This window comes from Homo sapiens, chromosome 13 (assembly GCF_000001405.40).
Source record: "Homo sapiens chromosome 13, GRCh38.p14 Primary Assembly".
NCBI classification, from domain to species: domain Eukaryota; kingdom Metazoa; phylum Chordata; class Mammalia; order Primates; family Hominidae; genus Homo; species Homo sapiens.
In genome coordinates, this window is record NC_000013.11 from 104,876,722 (window position 1) to 104,893,326 (window position 16,605).

The 16,605-nt window shown below is 33.9% G+C and overlaps 1 long non-coding RNA gene across 1 annotated transcript in view; it reads left to right on the plus strand.

Annotated features, from left to right (window-relative positions):
• Nucleotides 1-14,574, plus strand: part of LOC107984608 (uncharacterized) — a 52,829-nt gene extending 38,255 nt beyond the window's left edge. Inside the window, exons 2-3 of the long non-coding RNA XR_001749997.2 lie at nucleotides 13,576-13,999; nucleotides 14,275-14,574. This is a non-coding gene — a long non-coding RNA (uncharacterized LOC107984608). The remainder of the gene's footprint in view (nucleotides 1-13,575; nucleotides 14,000-14,274) is intronic.
• The last annotated feature ends 2,031 nt before the right edge of the window (nucleotides 14,575-16,605 follow it).

The following is a 16,605-nucleotide window of genomic DNA, read 5'->3' on the forward strand; positions in this document are numbered from 1 at the left end:
GGGGACTACAAATCCTATGGTCATAGATCAATGTTTTCCATCTTTACTTGCAGCCTTTAACAATCCCAGAAAATGTATTCGTTTTTAAATTTTAAAAAAGGAAAAAAATGTTTTTGTAAAAAGGTGTGCAGCACAAAAATGGAGGAGACCGCAGCATGAGCCAGTCCTTCAGACTCTCCATGGGTTGGGCCCACGGTAGCATTACACTTTTCCCCTCACTTGAACTCAGTCCTGTCTGTATAACTTGGATTGTTTTGCCCATTCAACAATTGTATAATGAGTACAATGATGGCAAGTAATGCTTTTTATTCTAGATGCCTCTGGATTAAGAGTCATGTCTAATGAGACATATCCGAATCTGATGAAGAGCACAAGAACCTGGCTTCTAAGCCTGCCTTTGCAAGTGGAGGAGATTTGAGGGGTTACTGTGATAGGGATAAAAACATGGGAATGAAGTGAATAATTATGGCCAGAGGTTGAACTGTAGTATTATCAAAATCTTGCTAAGTTGAAGTATCAGAACTCTGCATAACAGATTAGCCATAAAGTTATTAAATGGAGCAGAGCAACTTTAAAAGTAGATTAGGCCAAGTAGATTAGCTATTCTTACACTGACCCTAGATTTGAGAATTAATATACTGTGTCCAGTACCTGAGAGTGTCCAGTACCTGAGAGTCTGTGTCCAGTACCTGAGAGGCTGGTTAATTGAAACCTGAAGTATGTGGTTCTCTAAAGAGACAGGTTTGAAATACCAGAAGTTTCCTGGCTCAGAATTTTGGAATGGGTAGATTATGTGGAACCAGCCCAGCTACTTTATTACCACATTATCCTACTCTGTGTAGATGGGAGATCATGGACGAGAAGCACTGTGGAATTTGGCTGTTTGATTTCAATGGAAGAAGAGTAATAAAGATCAAATGGTGATTCCTAACAGTGAAAGACAGAGCACTATTACTGTGAAAAGTAATGGAGACATAGAAATAATAAAAGCATTGTGAAATTCAGTGATCACTTGTGACTAAATAACCCCTATGAATGAACCCAGAGGAATGAAACATATTGCAGTTTACTAAGATAACTCCTGCCTATACAAGCAAAAAGGTCCATGTTTGACGGGGAGAAATCCAAGCGGAAGAATTACAGTGGGGAATCTCAGCCTCTTACCTAGGTGTCAGACAATGCCTGTTTACAGACACAGAGCTCCTTGATTGAAGGAGAGTTTGTCTTTTTGGAAAAAAAAAAAAAGGAAACAAAGCCACATATGTACGCACTGAATCTTCAGTAAAACATTATTAGTGGATGTGGTGGCCATTGATGAAGGTGTCAGTATTTTGGTAGGAGAAATAAACAATCTAGAGATCAGTAGATGTTAAATCTGAACTAACATTAATACCTAAAGATAAAAATCTTCATCAATAAAGACACAAAGTGGCCACTCTGTAATTTATAGAGATTGAGTGAGTCTTGACCTGAGTCCATTCTACGGTTATTTTCTTAATCTCAGAATATGTAAAGGAGATATAAATACACTTACTTATGTACAGCTACTCACAGGCTTCCTTGATCATGGAGTGAGGGCTATTAAGGTAGAAATAATTGTTTCCTAACCCTTCATTAAAACATTATATTAAAAACAATATTGCACTGGGGAGGGATTGTAGATGTTAGTGCCACTAACGAAGACTTGCAAGCTAGGAGTGTAGAGATTCCTATTGCATCCTCATTTTTTAACTCTGTATTTGGCCACTGTAGAAGATAGAGAGGTCTTGTAAAGTGAAATTGGATATTTGTCCACTTAATCAGATGCTGATAAATTACAGTTGTTATTTTGATCTTATATCTTTGCTCTGCTTGCCGAGACTCTGTATGCATCTATTCACCTAACGAATCTGTTTTCTACCAAAATTCAGGGAGATAATCAGAAGCAATTTGTCTTTATTTCACAGGGCAGCCGTACACCTTCAGTATTTTATTGCAGGTCTACTTAAACTTTTTTGCTCTCAATCGTGATGCAGCCTGCAGGAACTTTAAAAATGTTCATACTCTACCAAACATTACAGCATTTCAGGGATGATATTATGCTTATGCTTATTGGACCTGGTGAGAAGGGAGTAGCAAACAACTCAAGTGCTTCAGCTGATGGCAAGTATGCTGGAAGGTAGCTTTTCACTGCAGGCATTTCATTTGATGGCAAGTATGCTGGAAGGTAGCTTTTCACTGCAGGCATTTCATTTGATGGCAAGTATGCTGGAAGGTAGCTTTTCACTGCAGGCATTTCATTTGATGGCAAGTATGCTGGAAGGTAGCTTTTCACTGCAGGCATTTCATTTGATGGCAAGTATGCTGGAAGGTAGCTTTTCCCTGGAGGCATTTCAGTTGATGGCAAGTATGCTGGAAGGTAGCTTTTCCCTGGAGGCATTTCAGTTGATGGCAAGTATGCTGGAAGGTAGCTTTTCACTGCAGGCATCACTATGAACTTGTGATATATATGGCCACTGTAAGGGCCTAGTGCAAGATTCCAGGAGTACAGAGCATACCTAGTGCCCAGATCTTGATTTCCCAATGTTCATTTCTACTAAATGAACCAGAGCCTGCTACTCGGAGAAATACATGATTCCAGGTCTAATATTTCCATTTTCAAGTGAAAATGCAAGCTTCATTTATTTGTTTATGGAAATGAATAACATGGTAATGTGTTAAACATATTTAATATGAAAAATAATGACTATAGGGATAACTTAAAAGTTTTAGACATATAAGAAGAAAAGAAAGAAGGAAAATTTTACAGAAAATGCTGGGTAATAAATAAAGAAGACATGATACAGTTGGAATCTCTTCATTTTAGAACTAACTTTCAGTGTGAAATTGCTTCAGGCAACGATCTTCAGTTGGGTGACAGGTGGTTGGAGAACAGAGTACTCAAATTGTCTCAAAGTGTTCCACCAAAATATAAGTATCAATTTCAAAGTAAAATAGGTTCCTTTACTATGAAACAATCTGATGGTGACCACCTTCATGCAATTTATTACCTCCTAAAATGTGAACACATGGAATGCCTCCTGACAATATGTGGTGAGCGGTGCCACAAGACTTATGGTATGTTACTATGAAATGTGTAACATGAGCTGGTCTCCAGGAAACACATCAACATATGATTGCTGTGTATTTAACAACAAAACTGGAACAGGAATCATCCAAACTTCCCCTATTATAGAGAGAAGAGCTAAAGAGGCTGTTGAGATTAAAAAATTTTTAAAAAAGGAACTAAAGATAAGCAACCCAGATAAGTGTGTAAACATTTATTGAATTCTAGATAAAAAACAAACCAACAAAAAGACATGAAAGACTCAGGACAAAAGAAAAAAACTAGAATTATCCAGCATATATTAGATTATGTTGTAGAAATAATGTTAATTTTCTTCAACGTGGTAATGGTATTGTGTTATAAAAACAATGTCCTATTTGTAGGATATTCATGTCAAAAATTTTGGAGATATGTATCATGTGTGTGCCATACTTTTAATGGTTCAGAAGAAAAAGAAAAAATAGTCTGCAGCAGAGCTGATCTGAGAGCTACTTTATCTGAATGAGGTACACATCGTTCTTGAGTCGAGAAAAGAAGGGGATTTTATTCTTTGTAACATCTTAAGCAAGATTATTATTTTTATTGTGATATTCATAAAAATTTACTCATCTTACAATGTAAGCATATAGTGTGTAAAAGGCAATTTAGTGTTCAGTTTTGCCAGCTTCTAAAAGTGTACAATCACGTGTTTCTTAACAACAGGGATACCTTCTGAGAAGTGTGTCGTTAGGCAATTTTGCAACCATCATAGAGTGTACTTACACAAACCTAAATGGGATAGCATAGTACACCTAGGCTATAGGGTATGGCCTATTACTCCTAGGCTACAAACTTGTACAGCATGTTACTGTACTGAGTCTAGGAGGCAATTGTAAAAGAATGGCCACTGTATATGTATCTCAACATATGTAAACATAGAAAAGTAACAAACAATATATGGTAGAAAAGGTTAAAAATGGCACACCTGTGTAGGACACTTATCATGAATGGAGCTTGCAGGATGGGAAGTTGCTCTGGGTGAGTGAGTGAGTGAGCAGTGGGTGAATGTGAAGGGCTAGGACAGTACTGTATACTACTGCAGACTTTGTAAATACTGTACACTTAATTTATACAAAATAATTTATCTTCAATAATAAATTAACCTTAGCTTCTATAACTTTTACTTTATAAATTTTTTAATTTTTTTAACGTTTTGGCCCTTGTAATGACGCAGCTTAAAATGCAAGCATATTGTACAACTGTATAAAAATATTTTCTTTGTTTATACTCTTATTCTATAAAGCTTTCTATATTTTAATTTTTTATCTTACTTTATAAACATTTTTTGTTAAAAGCTAAGACACAAACACACACATTAGCCTAGGCCTACACAGGGTCAGGATCATCAATGTCACGGTCTTCCACCTCCACATCTTGTCCTACTGGAAGGTCTTCAGGGTCAGAAACACACATGGAGCTGTCCTCTCCTATAACAGTATCTTCTTCTGGAATACCTCCTGAGGAACCAGTCTGAGGCTGTTTTACAGTTTTTTTTTTTATATAAATAAAAGGAATACACTCTAAAAGGTAAACAGTATAATACTGTTAATATATAAATCCTTAATATAATTGTCTATTATCAGTATCAAATATTACATACTGTGCATAATTATACGTACTAGACTTTTAAGTGCAATAGATTTGTTTATACCAGTGCCACCATGAAACATGAGTAATTCATTGTCCTATGACCTTAAAATGGCTACAATATCACTAGGCAATAGGAATTTTCAGCTTCGTTATATTCTATGAGACTACTGTTGTGTACATGGTCTGTTGACTGAAATATCGTTACGTGGTGTGGGCCTGTGTTACTAACTATTCTGCTATAAATTTCTAATAATATAAAATATTTCTCATCTGTTAACATTTCTACTGGGCTTCAAATATTGGTTTATCGCACTAAACTAATTTACTGTTATTCTCAATAAACATATATCAAATTCTGTTTTTTCTTTTTCTTTTGACATGGTATTTCTGTGTTTTAGGTTAAATGATTGAGCCCCTATCAGTTACTCAACACTAAAATTTGGTGTCTGGATAAAAATACAATTTTTGGAACGTGGACTTCCTGAATATAACTTGAATTTATAATTAAACAACATTAGATAAAGGAAACACATGAGTTTAGAGACATGACAAAGTCAATGAACTGATTTCACAGAATGGTCAGCTAGATGATTAGCATGTTAAAATAGCATATTTATCATAAATGATATAGTATCAAATGACTTATACTGAAATGATAGTAGTGAAATATGTGGCAGCCATTAGGATTTGAATATATTAACGTAAAAATAATGTATTCATATGATATTATATTACTATGAATTTTGATTAGCAATTTATTTTCAACATTGATAAAGGGAATTTGAAACATGGATTTATTATTATTCAGTTTAAGCATTTATATTTTTCTCCCTTCTGAATATTTTTCCTTTTTTGATTCATCTTAATTTTCTTTATAACTTAATGACTGTTCCCTGGATATTAGATGCCTTCAGCAATAATATTTTACTTTCATGTTTTCAGCAGATGCAAAGACTGTTGATTTCTTCTAAGTACAATTAAGTTGAATTTTATCGTGTCCTTAATGTAGTTATATAATCACCCAACAACTTTACTTAGAAGTAAATAAATCATGCTTGTTTAAGATTAAACCATAAAAATTATATTTTTATTAAAGATTTTTAAGTTTTTGTCAAGAAGTTCTTCTTTAAATTCTTGCTTGCTCCAAAAAAAATACTTAGAATGCTATGGAATGATACTACAAGCTACAAAATCTTCAAGTGTTTTTAAAATGCAATGCATTAGACCTTTTAAAGTGTCCTCAAAGTTATGATGAAAATTGCCATAGAACTTCTCTAATTTCTCTAGCAGGGACCCTCTCTTTCTCATAAAATATGTAATTTGTGGACACTAAAATGAAAATAATACTAATTCTCAATATCTTGTTAATACAGTGAAACAATCACATCCATAGTCCAGAGTGGGTCATTTCAGTTGGCCAGAGTTGGTCATTTCAATTGAAATGGTTGATCCTGATTTTGAGCAAAGGAGATTATGTGATCCCTGGTCAATCCTTAAAACCTGAAACTGCAAACCACATAACTTACCCTTTTTGTATTGCATTAGACTTTCATAGACAATGGAGACAATTGATGGTAATGTTATTATTTCAACTGGATGTTATTACACCAGTGATTTCCAAAAATCCCAGACAACACTGAGAGGCCTAATAAAACCAATGAAAATAAACTCAAATATATGTCAAAAGCGGGATCACTAGTATTAAATCAAATTGCATTTGTTATTTATTCTAAATGTTCAGAAACTAGTATTGTTGAGTAGTTGAAGGAAGAAAGAAACTTTTTTTTTTTTTCTGGAAGATTAAAGAGAGGTGATTTGGGAATTTTATTTTTTTTCCTGTAAACTGCATGTTAGAATTAAGTCTGTTTTTTTCTCCTATTTTTTTTTTCTTCAACTTTTATTTTAAGTTCAGGGGTACATGTGTAGGATGTGCAGATTTGTTACATAAGTAAACATATGCCATGGTGGTTTGCTGCCTAGATCATTGCATCACCTAGGTGTTAAGCCCAGCATCCATTAGCTATTCTTCTTGATGCTCTCCCTCCCCACTTCCCTCTCCAACAGGCCCCAGTGTGTGTTGTTCCCCTCCATATGTCCGTGTGTTCTGATCATTCAGCTCCCACTTATAACTGAGAACATGTGGTGTTTGGTTTTCTGTTCCTGCATTAGTTTGCTAAGGACAATGGCTTCCAACTCCATCTATGTCCTTGCAAAGGACATGATCTCATTCCTTTTTATGTCTGCATAGTATTCTATGATGTATATGTACCACATTTTATTTATTCAGTCTATAATTGATGGGGATTTAGGTTGATTCCATGTCTTTGCTATTGTGAATATTGCTGCAATGAATATATGTGTGCATGTATCCTTATAATAGAATGATTTATATTCCTTTGGTTATATATCCAGTAATGAGATTGCTGGGTCAAATGGTATTTGTGCCTCTAGGTCTTTGAGGAATCGCCACACGGTCTTCCACAATGGTTGATTTATACTCCCAAAATGGTTTAATTTATACTCCCAACAACAGTGTAAAAGGTCTCCTTTCTCTCTGCAGCCTCACCAGCACCTGTGGTTTTTTGATTTTCTAATAGTAGCCATTCTGACACACAGGACATGGTATCTTATTGTGGTTTGGATTTGCATTTCTCTAATGATCATTGATGTTGAGCTTTTTATTTTCACATGCTTGTTGGCTGCATGTATGCCTTCTTTTGAGAAGTGTCTGTTCAAGTCATTTGGTACTTTTTAATGTTTTTTTTTTTCTTGTAAATTTGTTTAACTTCTTTTTAGACTCTTCGTATTAGACCTCTGTCAGATGGATATATTGCAAAAATTTTCTCCCATTTTTAGATTGTCTGTTCACTCTGATGATAGTTTATTTTGCTGTGCAGAAGTTCATTAGTTTAATTAGATCCCATTTGTCAATTTTTGCTTTCTTTGCAATAGCTTTTGGTATTTTTGTCATGAAATTTTTACCCGTGCCTATGTCTTGAATGGTATTGCCTAGATTTTCTTCTAGGGCTTTTATAGTTTTGGGTTTTACATTTAAGTCTTTAATTCATCTTGAATTAATTTTTGTAATATAGTATAAGGAAGGGGTCCAGTTTCAATTTTCTGCTTATGGCTAGCCAGCTTTTCCAGCAGCATTTATTAAATAGGGAGTCCTTTCCCCATTGCTTTTGTTAGGTTTGTCCATAGATGCAGAAAAGTCCTTGGATAAAATTCAACATCCTTTCATGTTAAAAACTGTCAATGAACTAGGTATTGAGGGACTATACCTCAAAATAAGAGCCATATATGATAAAACCACAGCCAATATCATTCTAAATGGGCAAAATCTGGAAGCATTTCCCTTGAAAATTATCACAAGACAAGGATGTCCTCTCTCACCACTTTTATTCAACATAGAATTGGAAGTTCTGGCCAGGGTAATCAGGCAAGAGAAATGAATAAAGGGTATTAAAATAGGAAGACAGGAAGTCAAATTATCTTTGTTTCCAGATGACATGATCCTATATCTAGAAAAACCCATCGTCTCAGCCCACAAGCTTCTTAAGCTGACAAGCAACTTCAGCAAATCTTAGAATACAAAACCAATGTGCAAAAAAATCCCTAGCATTTCTATACACCAACAACAGGTAAGCAAAAAGCCAGATCATTAATGACCTCGCATTCACAATTGCTACAAAAAGAATAAAATACCTAGGAATACAGCTAAAAAGAGATGTGAAAGACCTCTTCAAGGAGAACTACACACCACTGCTTGAAGAAATCAGAAAGGACACTAACTAACAAATGGAGAAACAGTCCATGCTCATAGATATAGGAAGAATCATTATTGTGAAAATGGCCATACTGTACAAAGTAATTTATAGATTCAATGCTATTCACATTAAGCTACTGTTGAATTTGCTCACAGAATTAGAAAAATACTCTTTTAAAATTCATATAAAACCAAAAAAAAGAGCCCAAATAGCTGAGACAATCCTAAACAAAAAGAACAAAGCTGGAGATATCATGCTACCCACGTTCAGATTACACAACAAGGCTACAGTAACCAAAACAGTATTATACGATATAAGAACAGACACATAGACCAATGCAACAGAATAGAGAACTCAGAAATAAGACCACACACCCAGAACCATCTGATCTTCTACAAACCTGACATAATTAAGTTTTTAATTTAAAATATCTGTTGCCTTGATATTTTATTACTTTTTTTTTTTTGACAGAGTCTTATTCTGTCACCCAGGCTGTAGTGCAGTGGTGCGATCTTGGCTCACTGTAACCTCTGCCTCCCGGGTTCAAGTGATTCTTCTGCCAAGACTCCTGAGTAACTGGGACTAGAGGTGCCCACCCCTACATCTGGCTAATTTTTGTATTTTTAGTAGAGACGGGGTTTCACCATATTGGCCAGGCTGGTCTCGAACTCCTTACCTCGTGATCTGCCCGCCTCTGCCTCTCAAAGTGCTGGGATTACAGGTGTAAGCCACCGCACCCGGCCTGATTTCTTTTTTTTTTTTTAAAACACTCATAAAACATCAATCCTTCTTCACACTCTCTTCTGCTTACAAAATTTTGGTTTGGTGGAAGTCAGCCCAATGTCACAGATTTTTGCATGCTGATAAGAATGCAGATGTGTCTATAAAATTGTATTTTCTCAAATTTTTTCACTTACTGTGCAAACATTTGGCAAATTATAAATATGAGTTTCTATTTAAGTGTGACACAGTTTTTAGTTAGTTTTATTGAATGTGATAATTAAATACAATTGCCTGAGCATAAGTGTGAGTAATGTACATACGATTTTGATGTGTATGTACAATAAAATATGAATTGAAAATACATGCAATAATAAATATTTCTATGATGAGGATAAGCTACCTCAAAGGACTGTTAAGGGGATCAAATGTAAAAATGAGGGATACTTTGTAAATTGTAAATTGATATCTAAGTGGTAGTTATGTTTTTCATTTGTGATCTAATAATAAAAGTAGGTGGTATTTAGCTTCACTTTAGTGGCATCTTTTTAGATTGTCCTTTTAACGTTTATCAATATCAGTTATAATGGATATTACAAATGATGGTATGAATACATTCTAATTAGTTGAATATTTTAATTATTAAAAATATTCTTTATTTTTTACCTATAGCTGAAATTTTCATATATGCAAAAATAATATCTTTTCTTAAAAATGAATTTTAATGACTATCTCTTTAGTAGAATTTGGTTATCAAAAAGAAGACAAGGTTTCTGCAGGTTGTGGCCTAAGAGGAAGTGCAGGTTTTGTTTGGTTTTGTGTTGTTGCAAGCAAAGCAGTTTTTATCATCAAACCATCATGACTGCTTTGATATCATGTTAGTTTGAATAATGGACTTTGACAATTTGTTTCACCACAACTATAGAATATGTGTTATAGATCTATGGTGGGTGATTTATATTAGATTCACTTTGCATACTGTCTTATTCCTAATACACATTTCTAGGTAATTTCAACAATTTATTGGAAAAATTAAAATATTAAACTCTATAACCCAAGTTAACATGTGTATTATTTATAAGTCAAAGAAAACTAATGATATAATTAAGAAATGACTATGCTATCCTTAATATCTTCTTTAAACATTCATTTTAATATATATTTATTTTTTCATTGTGAAAGTAATTTACATTTAAAATGTAAAATTTGAAAACGTTTTAAAAAGAAAATAAATATCACTAAAGTTGGCCAATGTTAATATTTGTATAGCTGGAATTTTAGTCATTTTCTTTATGGAATTCATACATAATCTCCAAATTGGTATTTCATTACATATCTCCATCTTTGTTTCCCTTTGTCTACTCACCTACATATGGTTTTGTGTTCTTTAAATTCTTTATTAAGAATATTTAAATGTATTAACACATGTTATATCATAGTACATGTATCAAAATTTCAACTGAACTTATATTAACATTTAAAATTTTTAATTAAAATGTATCAAATCAATATATGAAATTTGTTTCTAAATTTTGTTTCCATGTTTTATTCTTTGATAATAATGTGCTTCTGGGAGTAAAGTTATTAAGTTCAACTTTATATGATATCTTAAAAGAACTTTAAAGAAATACCCAACTATCTTTTCACAAAATTTGCAATACTTATATAAACAATATCACTTAATAAGAGTGCATATGTTATTGAACCTTAATGCATTTGATACAACAATGTTATCTCTTATTTTAATTATGCAGTTTGATTAAAAAAGCTATTATATAAATTGGCATATGTTCAGTCAATAATTTTGTTCTTTTTTGAAAAAAGTAGTCTTAAGCTGTGTATTTTTTTCTTTTAGTATGTTAATATTAATGCTATTTTTAAAAGATAGGTTAATTGTACTAATGCTTAGTTTATGAGTTTTGTTCCTTGCAAAAACTTTTGCTTTATTTTCCAGGTAATCAATTACATTGTTTTTTATTTGTGTTATATTACCTTGCATTTTACTTAAAAATGTTTTTATGATAGGTCGGTGACATATTCTTCTATATTTTTCTAGTATTCTATGTTTTACTCAGCCTAAGCAGAATTTTATCTTTTTTCTCTTTATTTATCATAAATAATTTTTCTCATAAGATGAATTTCTAACTCCTTAATCTATGTCTTACTTATCTCAAATTACCAGTTATCCCAAGATTTCTTCTCCACTCATTTGTGATGTCTTCTTTATTGTCTACAACTCTCCCTGGACAAGGATTTGTTTAAGGTCTACTATCTTTCCTTTCTTTCTTCCTTCTTTCCTTTTTTCTCCCTTCCTTTACTTCCTCTCTCTTTTTTTCCTCCTTTTCTCCCTCTTTCCCTGATATGATTTGGCTGTGTCCCCACTCAAAATCTCATCCTGAATTCTAATCTCCATAATCTCCATAACCCCCATGTGTCAAGGGAGAAACCAGGGGATGGTAACTGAATAATGGGGCAGTTTCCCCCATGCTGTTCTTGTGATAGTGAGTGAGTTCTCACAAGATATGATGGTTTTATAAGTGTTAGTTATTTCCTCCTAGTTCATTCTCCTTCCTGCTGGCCGGTGGAGAAGGTGCCTTGCTTCCCCTTTGCCTTCCCCCATGATTGTAAATTTCCTGAGGCCTCCCTAATCATGCTGAACTATGAGTCAATTAAACCTCTTTCCTTTTTAAATTACCCAATCTCGGGCAGTTCTTTATGGCAGTGTGAAAAAAGGATGAATATATTCCCTCTGTTTCTTCCTTTTTGTTTCTTTTATGCCTTTCAACTGTCTATTGATATTTGTACAAGTATCACTTTGCTTTATTACTTCAAATTATATTGAAATATATGAATAAGCAAATACATAAGGAAAGTCCAAAGCATTGCTCTAGACAATAACAAAATTTTCTGTTGATTCTTCTGGATGCACTTTAGAAAAATTGTACCATGCTGTCCTAAAATAAAAGAAAACAATAATGGAATAATTTTATTTTTTGGATAATCATTAATTTAGAAAGAAATTTAACTTTGTTATTATAACATTTAGTCTCCTTATTAGGATATATGTCATCTCTACACTGGATTTCATAAATAGTGTGTATGTCTTTCAATAATGTTTTGCAGTTTTTGCTCATATGGGCTTTTATATTTTTAATAATTAACTTTCTATGACTTTCTATATCAAAAATATTATTGTAAACAAAATATATTTCTTTATTATTGTTCAAACTAGTTATTGCCATATTTTCCATATGTATTAATCTTTAATTTTTCTTCATCTGAACATTTTATTGCACTCGCTAATTTTACGGTTTATTTTCTGATATAGAATCTACTTGATTATTAACACAAGAAAAATTTGCTCCCATCATTTTTACTAGTTTTGTTCCATACTTCTTTTTTATTCTTTGTGATCTTCCCAGAAATCCAGGAAGTATATTAAATAATGGTGACAGCAGATATTTTTATGGAAACATCTCTAGTATTTTACTGCATATATGAGAGGAGTGTTTGACTAGGTGGACCATACTCTTGATTCTAGTTATATGTTATTGAATACCTTTCTTCAGTTATTGAAATTACTTTTCAAAAATTGATGTATTAATAGATTTTCTAGTACTTTCTTTTATAACTGGATAATTATTTTCTTAGAGTAGTGCCATCATAGGTGAGCTCAGGTTGTGACATTCTATTTTATTCTCAACTTACCTTGAGTTTATTGGACATTCTATTTTATACTCAACTTACTTTGAGTTTACAGAAAGAAAGGCCTGAGACGGGTATAGTGTGTAAGAGATTTATAGAGGTAGTAATTTCAAAGAACAAAAACAGGAAAATAACTGCAGGCAGATCTCCCAGGAAGCTCTGGAGTACAAATTGCAACACAGAACTTGTTCTGCTCAGATAGTGTTCTGTGACCAGCATCCGTAAGTCATGGAATATGAGGAAGCCCTGGGAGTCGGGAGTGGGGACAGAAACTTTCAAGCATCTCAGGGATAGGAAGCTTCTGTCAGGCAAGGGTAATCCTCCAGAGAAGGACATAGCTGTAGGTGATTAGCATCCAATCTGTAGAGCAGGTTGGGCATGGGTGCACCTATTCTGGGATCGCATCTGGTTTAGGTACCAACAGCAAACCTTATAATCCCCTCTTTCCTATCTCAGAAATGCTTATTTTTCACATTCCTATCTCAGAAATGCTTATTTTTCACATTCACTTTATGTGGTCACAATTTCTTCAGCGTTCTGGTTGCTTACAATTTCTGGGGAAATTTCCAAAAAGAGGATTTGTGAAAGAAGCTATAGCTCCCACTGATGTCGTTCATCCTGAAGTCATAACTGAAACACATTTCCCTCCTTTCTCATTCATTCTAGGATCTCCTCACACTCATCCACCTAGATCCTGAAACTGGAGGGACCTGCACTACTTCGTAGTCTGTTTGTTCTGCTTATCCGGGTGAAGATGGAACTGGACAAAAGAATACCTAGGGGTGGACCACTTGGTGCCACACTTCTTCTTCTGTGTCTCCATCATATAGCAATGGCTGTGACTCATCCCGATGATTGGGATCAATTACGCCTGCAACAGTGCCCTTTTTTGTTTCTTCATCCACTGGTCTACAGACTTGCAGAGCCCAGGATGAACTAATAGCAACCATGGCTTTACATTTAGTGAGAATTAGGTGGAACACAGGCCTTCAAGAAGAGTCTTCCCACAAAGAAGAAGAACATCTAGACACACAGAGCCTAAATATTCATGCAGAACTTCACCAGCACAAACACCCTGCTGGAATTGGTGGTAAGTGGAACCACTTCTACTGTACTTTTTGTCAGTTTGTAGTATCAGAGTTTTGCTAAATGTGTAAGACCATGAATTAACCTTTCATTCCAAATTTAGCCATACACTTTGTTTTGATATACAGCATTTCCTGTTTTTATTCTGTAACATGCATAAATTTTCTATAGACACAGTTTTATTTTTTGTCCCAATTTGTATCTTAACAGTTTTCAGAAATTATAAATGGTTATTTAAAAAAATACATTTATTAATTCTTAGTCTTATTTGCATTATAGGCAAAGACTATTCTGCACAGTTTTTGTCTTGAGAAAATTGAGGTTGCATAGAATATGGCAAACTGGACAAGTGCTTCACTGATTGTTGCAAAAAAGATATGTTAACTATTCTGCAAGTATATACTTTATATATATGATTTCAGTATGATCAGTTACTCAAATTCTCATTATTTTTGTTTACTTGATTTTTGAAAGAGCACTGTGTAAAAGGCCCTCCTAATACATATTTCTGTCAATTTCTCCTTTTATGTATGATACATTTTTAAAATATATATATAAATTGCTACATACACTCATGAATATTTATTCTGTGTGGATTGTATCTTTTACAAAATGCCCTCTAGATCTCATTTAATACCTTTCCTTTTAAATTTCTATATTCTAATATGAATATAGCCAATCTTTCCTTTGCCTGGCATATATTTGCACAACCCTTTACTTTTAAAAATATCATGGATGGAGTTGGAAGCCATTATCCTCAGCAAACTAATGCAAGAACAGAAAACCAAACACCACATATTCTTACTTACAAGTGGGAGCTGAGTGATGAGAACACGTGGACACATGAAGGGGGAAACAACACACACTGGGGCATGTCAGCTTTGGGGCAGGGGGAGGGAGACCAGCAGGAAAAATAGCTAATGGATGCTGAGCTTAATAACTAGACAACGAGATAATCTGTGCCACAAACCACCATGGCACACGTTTACCTATGTAACAAACCCACATATCCTGCACAGGTACCCGGAACTTAAAATAAAAGTTAAAGGAAAAAGAAAAAAAAAATCTCTTGTGTTTAATGTGTCTACTATATGTTATATACACTTGTCTTAAAAAAGAGCTTTATTAAAATAGATATAGATAAAAATAGATTAAGAGCCCAAATCACAAGTGTGCAGCTCAAGTAAATGTGCCCATGTAATTACCAGTCAGAACAATAAATAAGACATTTCTAACACACAAAAAGCATGGCTGCCTCATGAAATCCCCTGCTTCTTATTAAAAATAACCCATTTCTGTTGTAATTCATATGAAAGTTTTATGTTATCTTATTTTTAAATTACTTTGTTTATTATTTTTTTGCTTATATATAATATTTAATTTTCTTTTCTCCAACAAAAAAAGATCCATCCTGTTTTTATTACATTGTACAAAAATCACTTTTATATTCCCCAAAGTATTACCTTTACCCCAATTTCCAAACAGAACCAAATTTAAGGTATATATAATAACTTTTGACTCCTTCCTAAAAATAAGATCAGGAATTTAGCATGCATTCCCATTCCTCATTCCCCCACTTCCTGACATTACAAATATAAAGATCATTCCCTCAGGAGCTCTGAGGATGAGGACACTCTGTAATAGAATGTACAGTATCCTCAAGGAAACACCATTACAGCAGAAACTGATAAGTGTGTAACGTTGCTGTTTCTTCTATTATCCTTGAAAAAAGTCAAGCCAAAGAGAAATTCAAAATAATATAACTCTTAAACAGGCAATTGATATAGAGCTCCAAAAAGCCATCATAACTGATCAACACCCAGGGATAGTTGGATGTGGGGTTGCCGGATCTTATCTTAATGATCTCTGTTTGTTTGTTTGTTTTAATGTTTTTATGGTCTACAAAATGAAAAAAGTCATTAAATGTAATGTAGTTACAGTGTTCTAGTGAATAAGCAAGAGATCATAATCAGAAAAATATTAAGGTCAACAATAGATTATTTAGCAGGATAAATAAATTTTATACCACCGGGGGGATACAGAAGTATTGTTTCACTCTGGTAAGAATTTGAGAGATATTGAGTGGCAGTGAGATTTTACTACCTGGAAAGTTCTGAGCACATGGTTTTCCTGAATTATCATGTTAGTGCAAGATATCATTCTTCAATTCAGAGTTGAGCATGGCAGAGAAAGTGGAATTCTCTTGGGAAAACTGAGAATTTCATGGAAATATTTGTGAATGAAAAGCTACTTCTGTAGTTGATGGTGAGCTGAGGAAATAACTATTTATTTTTATAAATTTCTACATTTTTACAAGTATTACTGTTTGCTACGGACATATTTATACCTGTTTGCATTTATTGGAATTTCATATACAATTTTTTTTTCTTTTTTTCTTTTTTTTTTTTTTTTTTGAGACGGAGTCTTGCTCTGTCGCCCAGGCTGGAGTGCGGTGGCGGGATCTGGGCTCACTGCCAGCTCCGCCTCCCGGGTTCACGCCATTCTCCTGCCTCAGCCTCCCGAGTAGCTGGGAATATAGGCGCCCGCCACCACGCCCGGCTAAGTTTTTGTATTTTTAGTAGAGACGGGGTTTGACCATTTTAGCCAGGA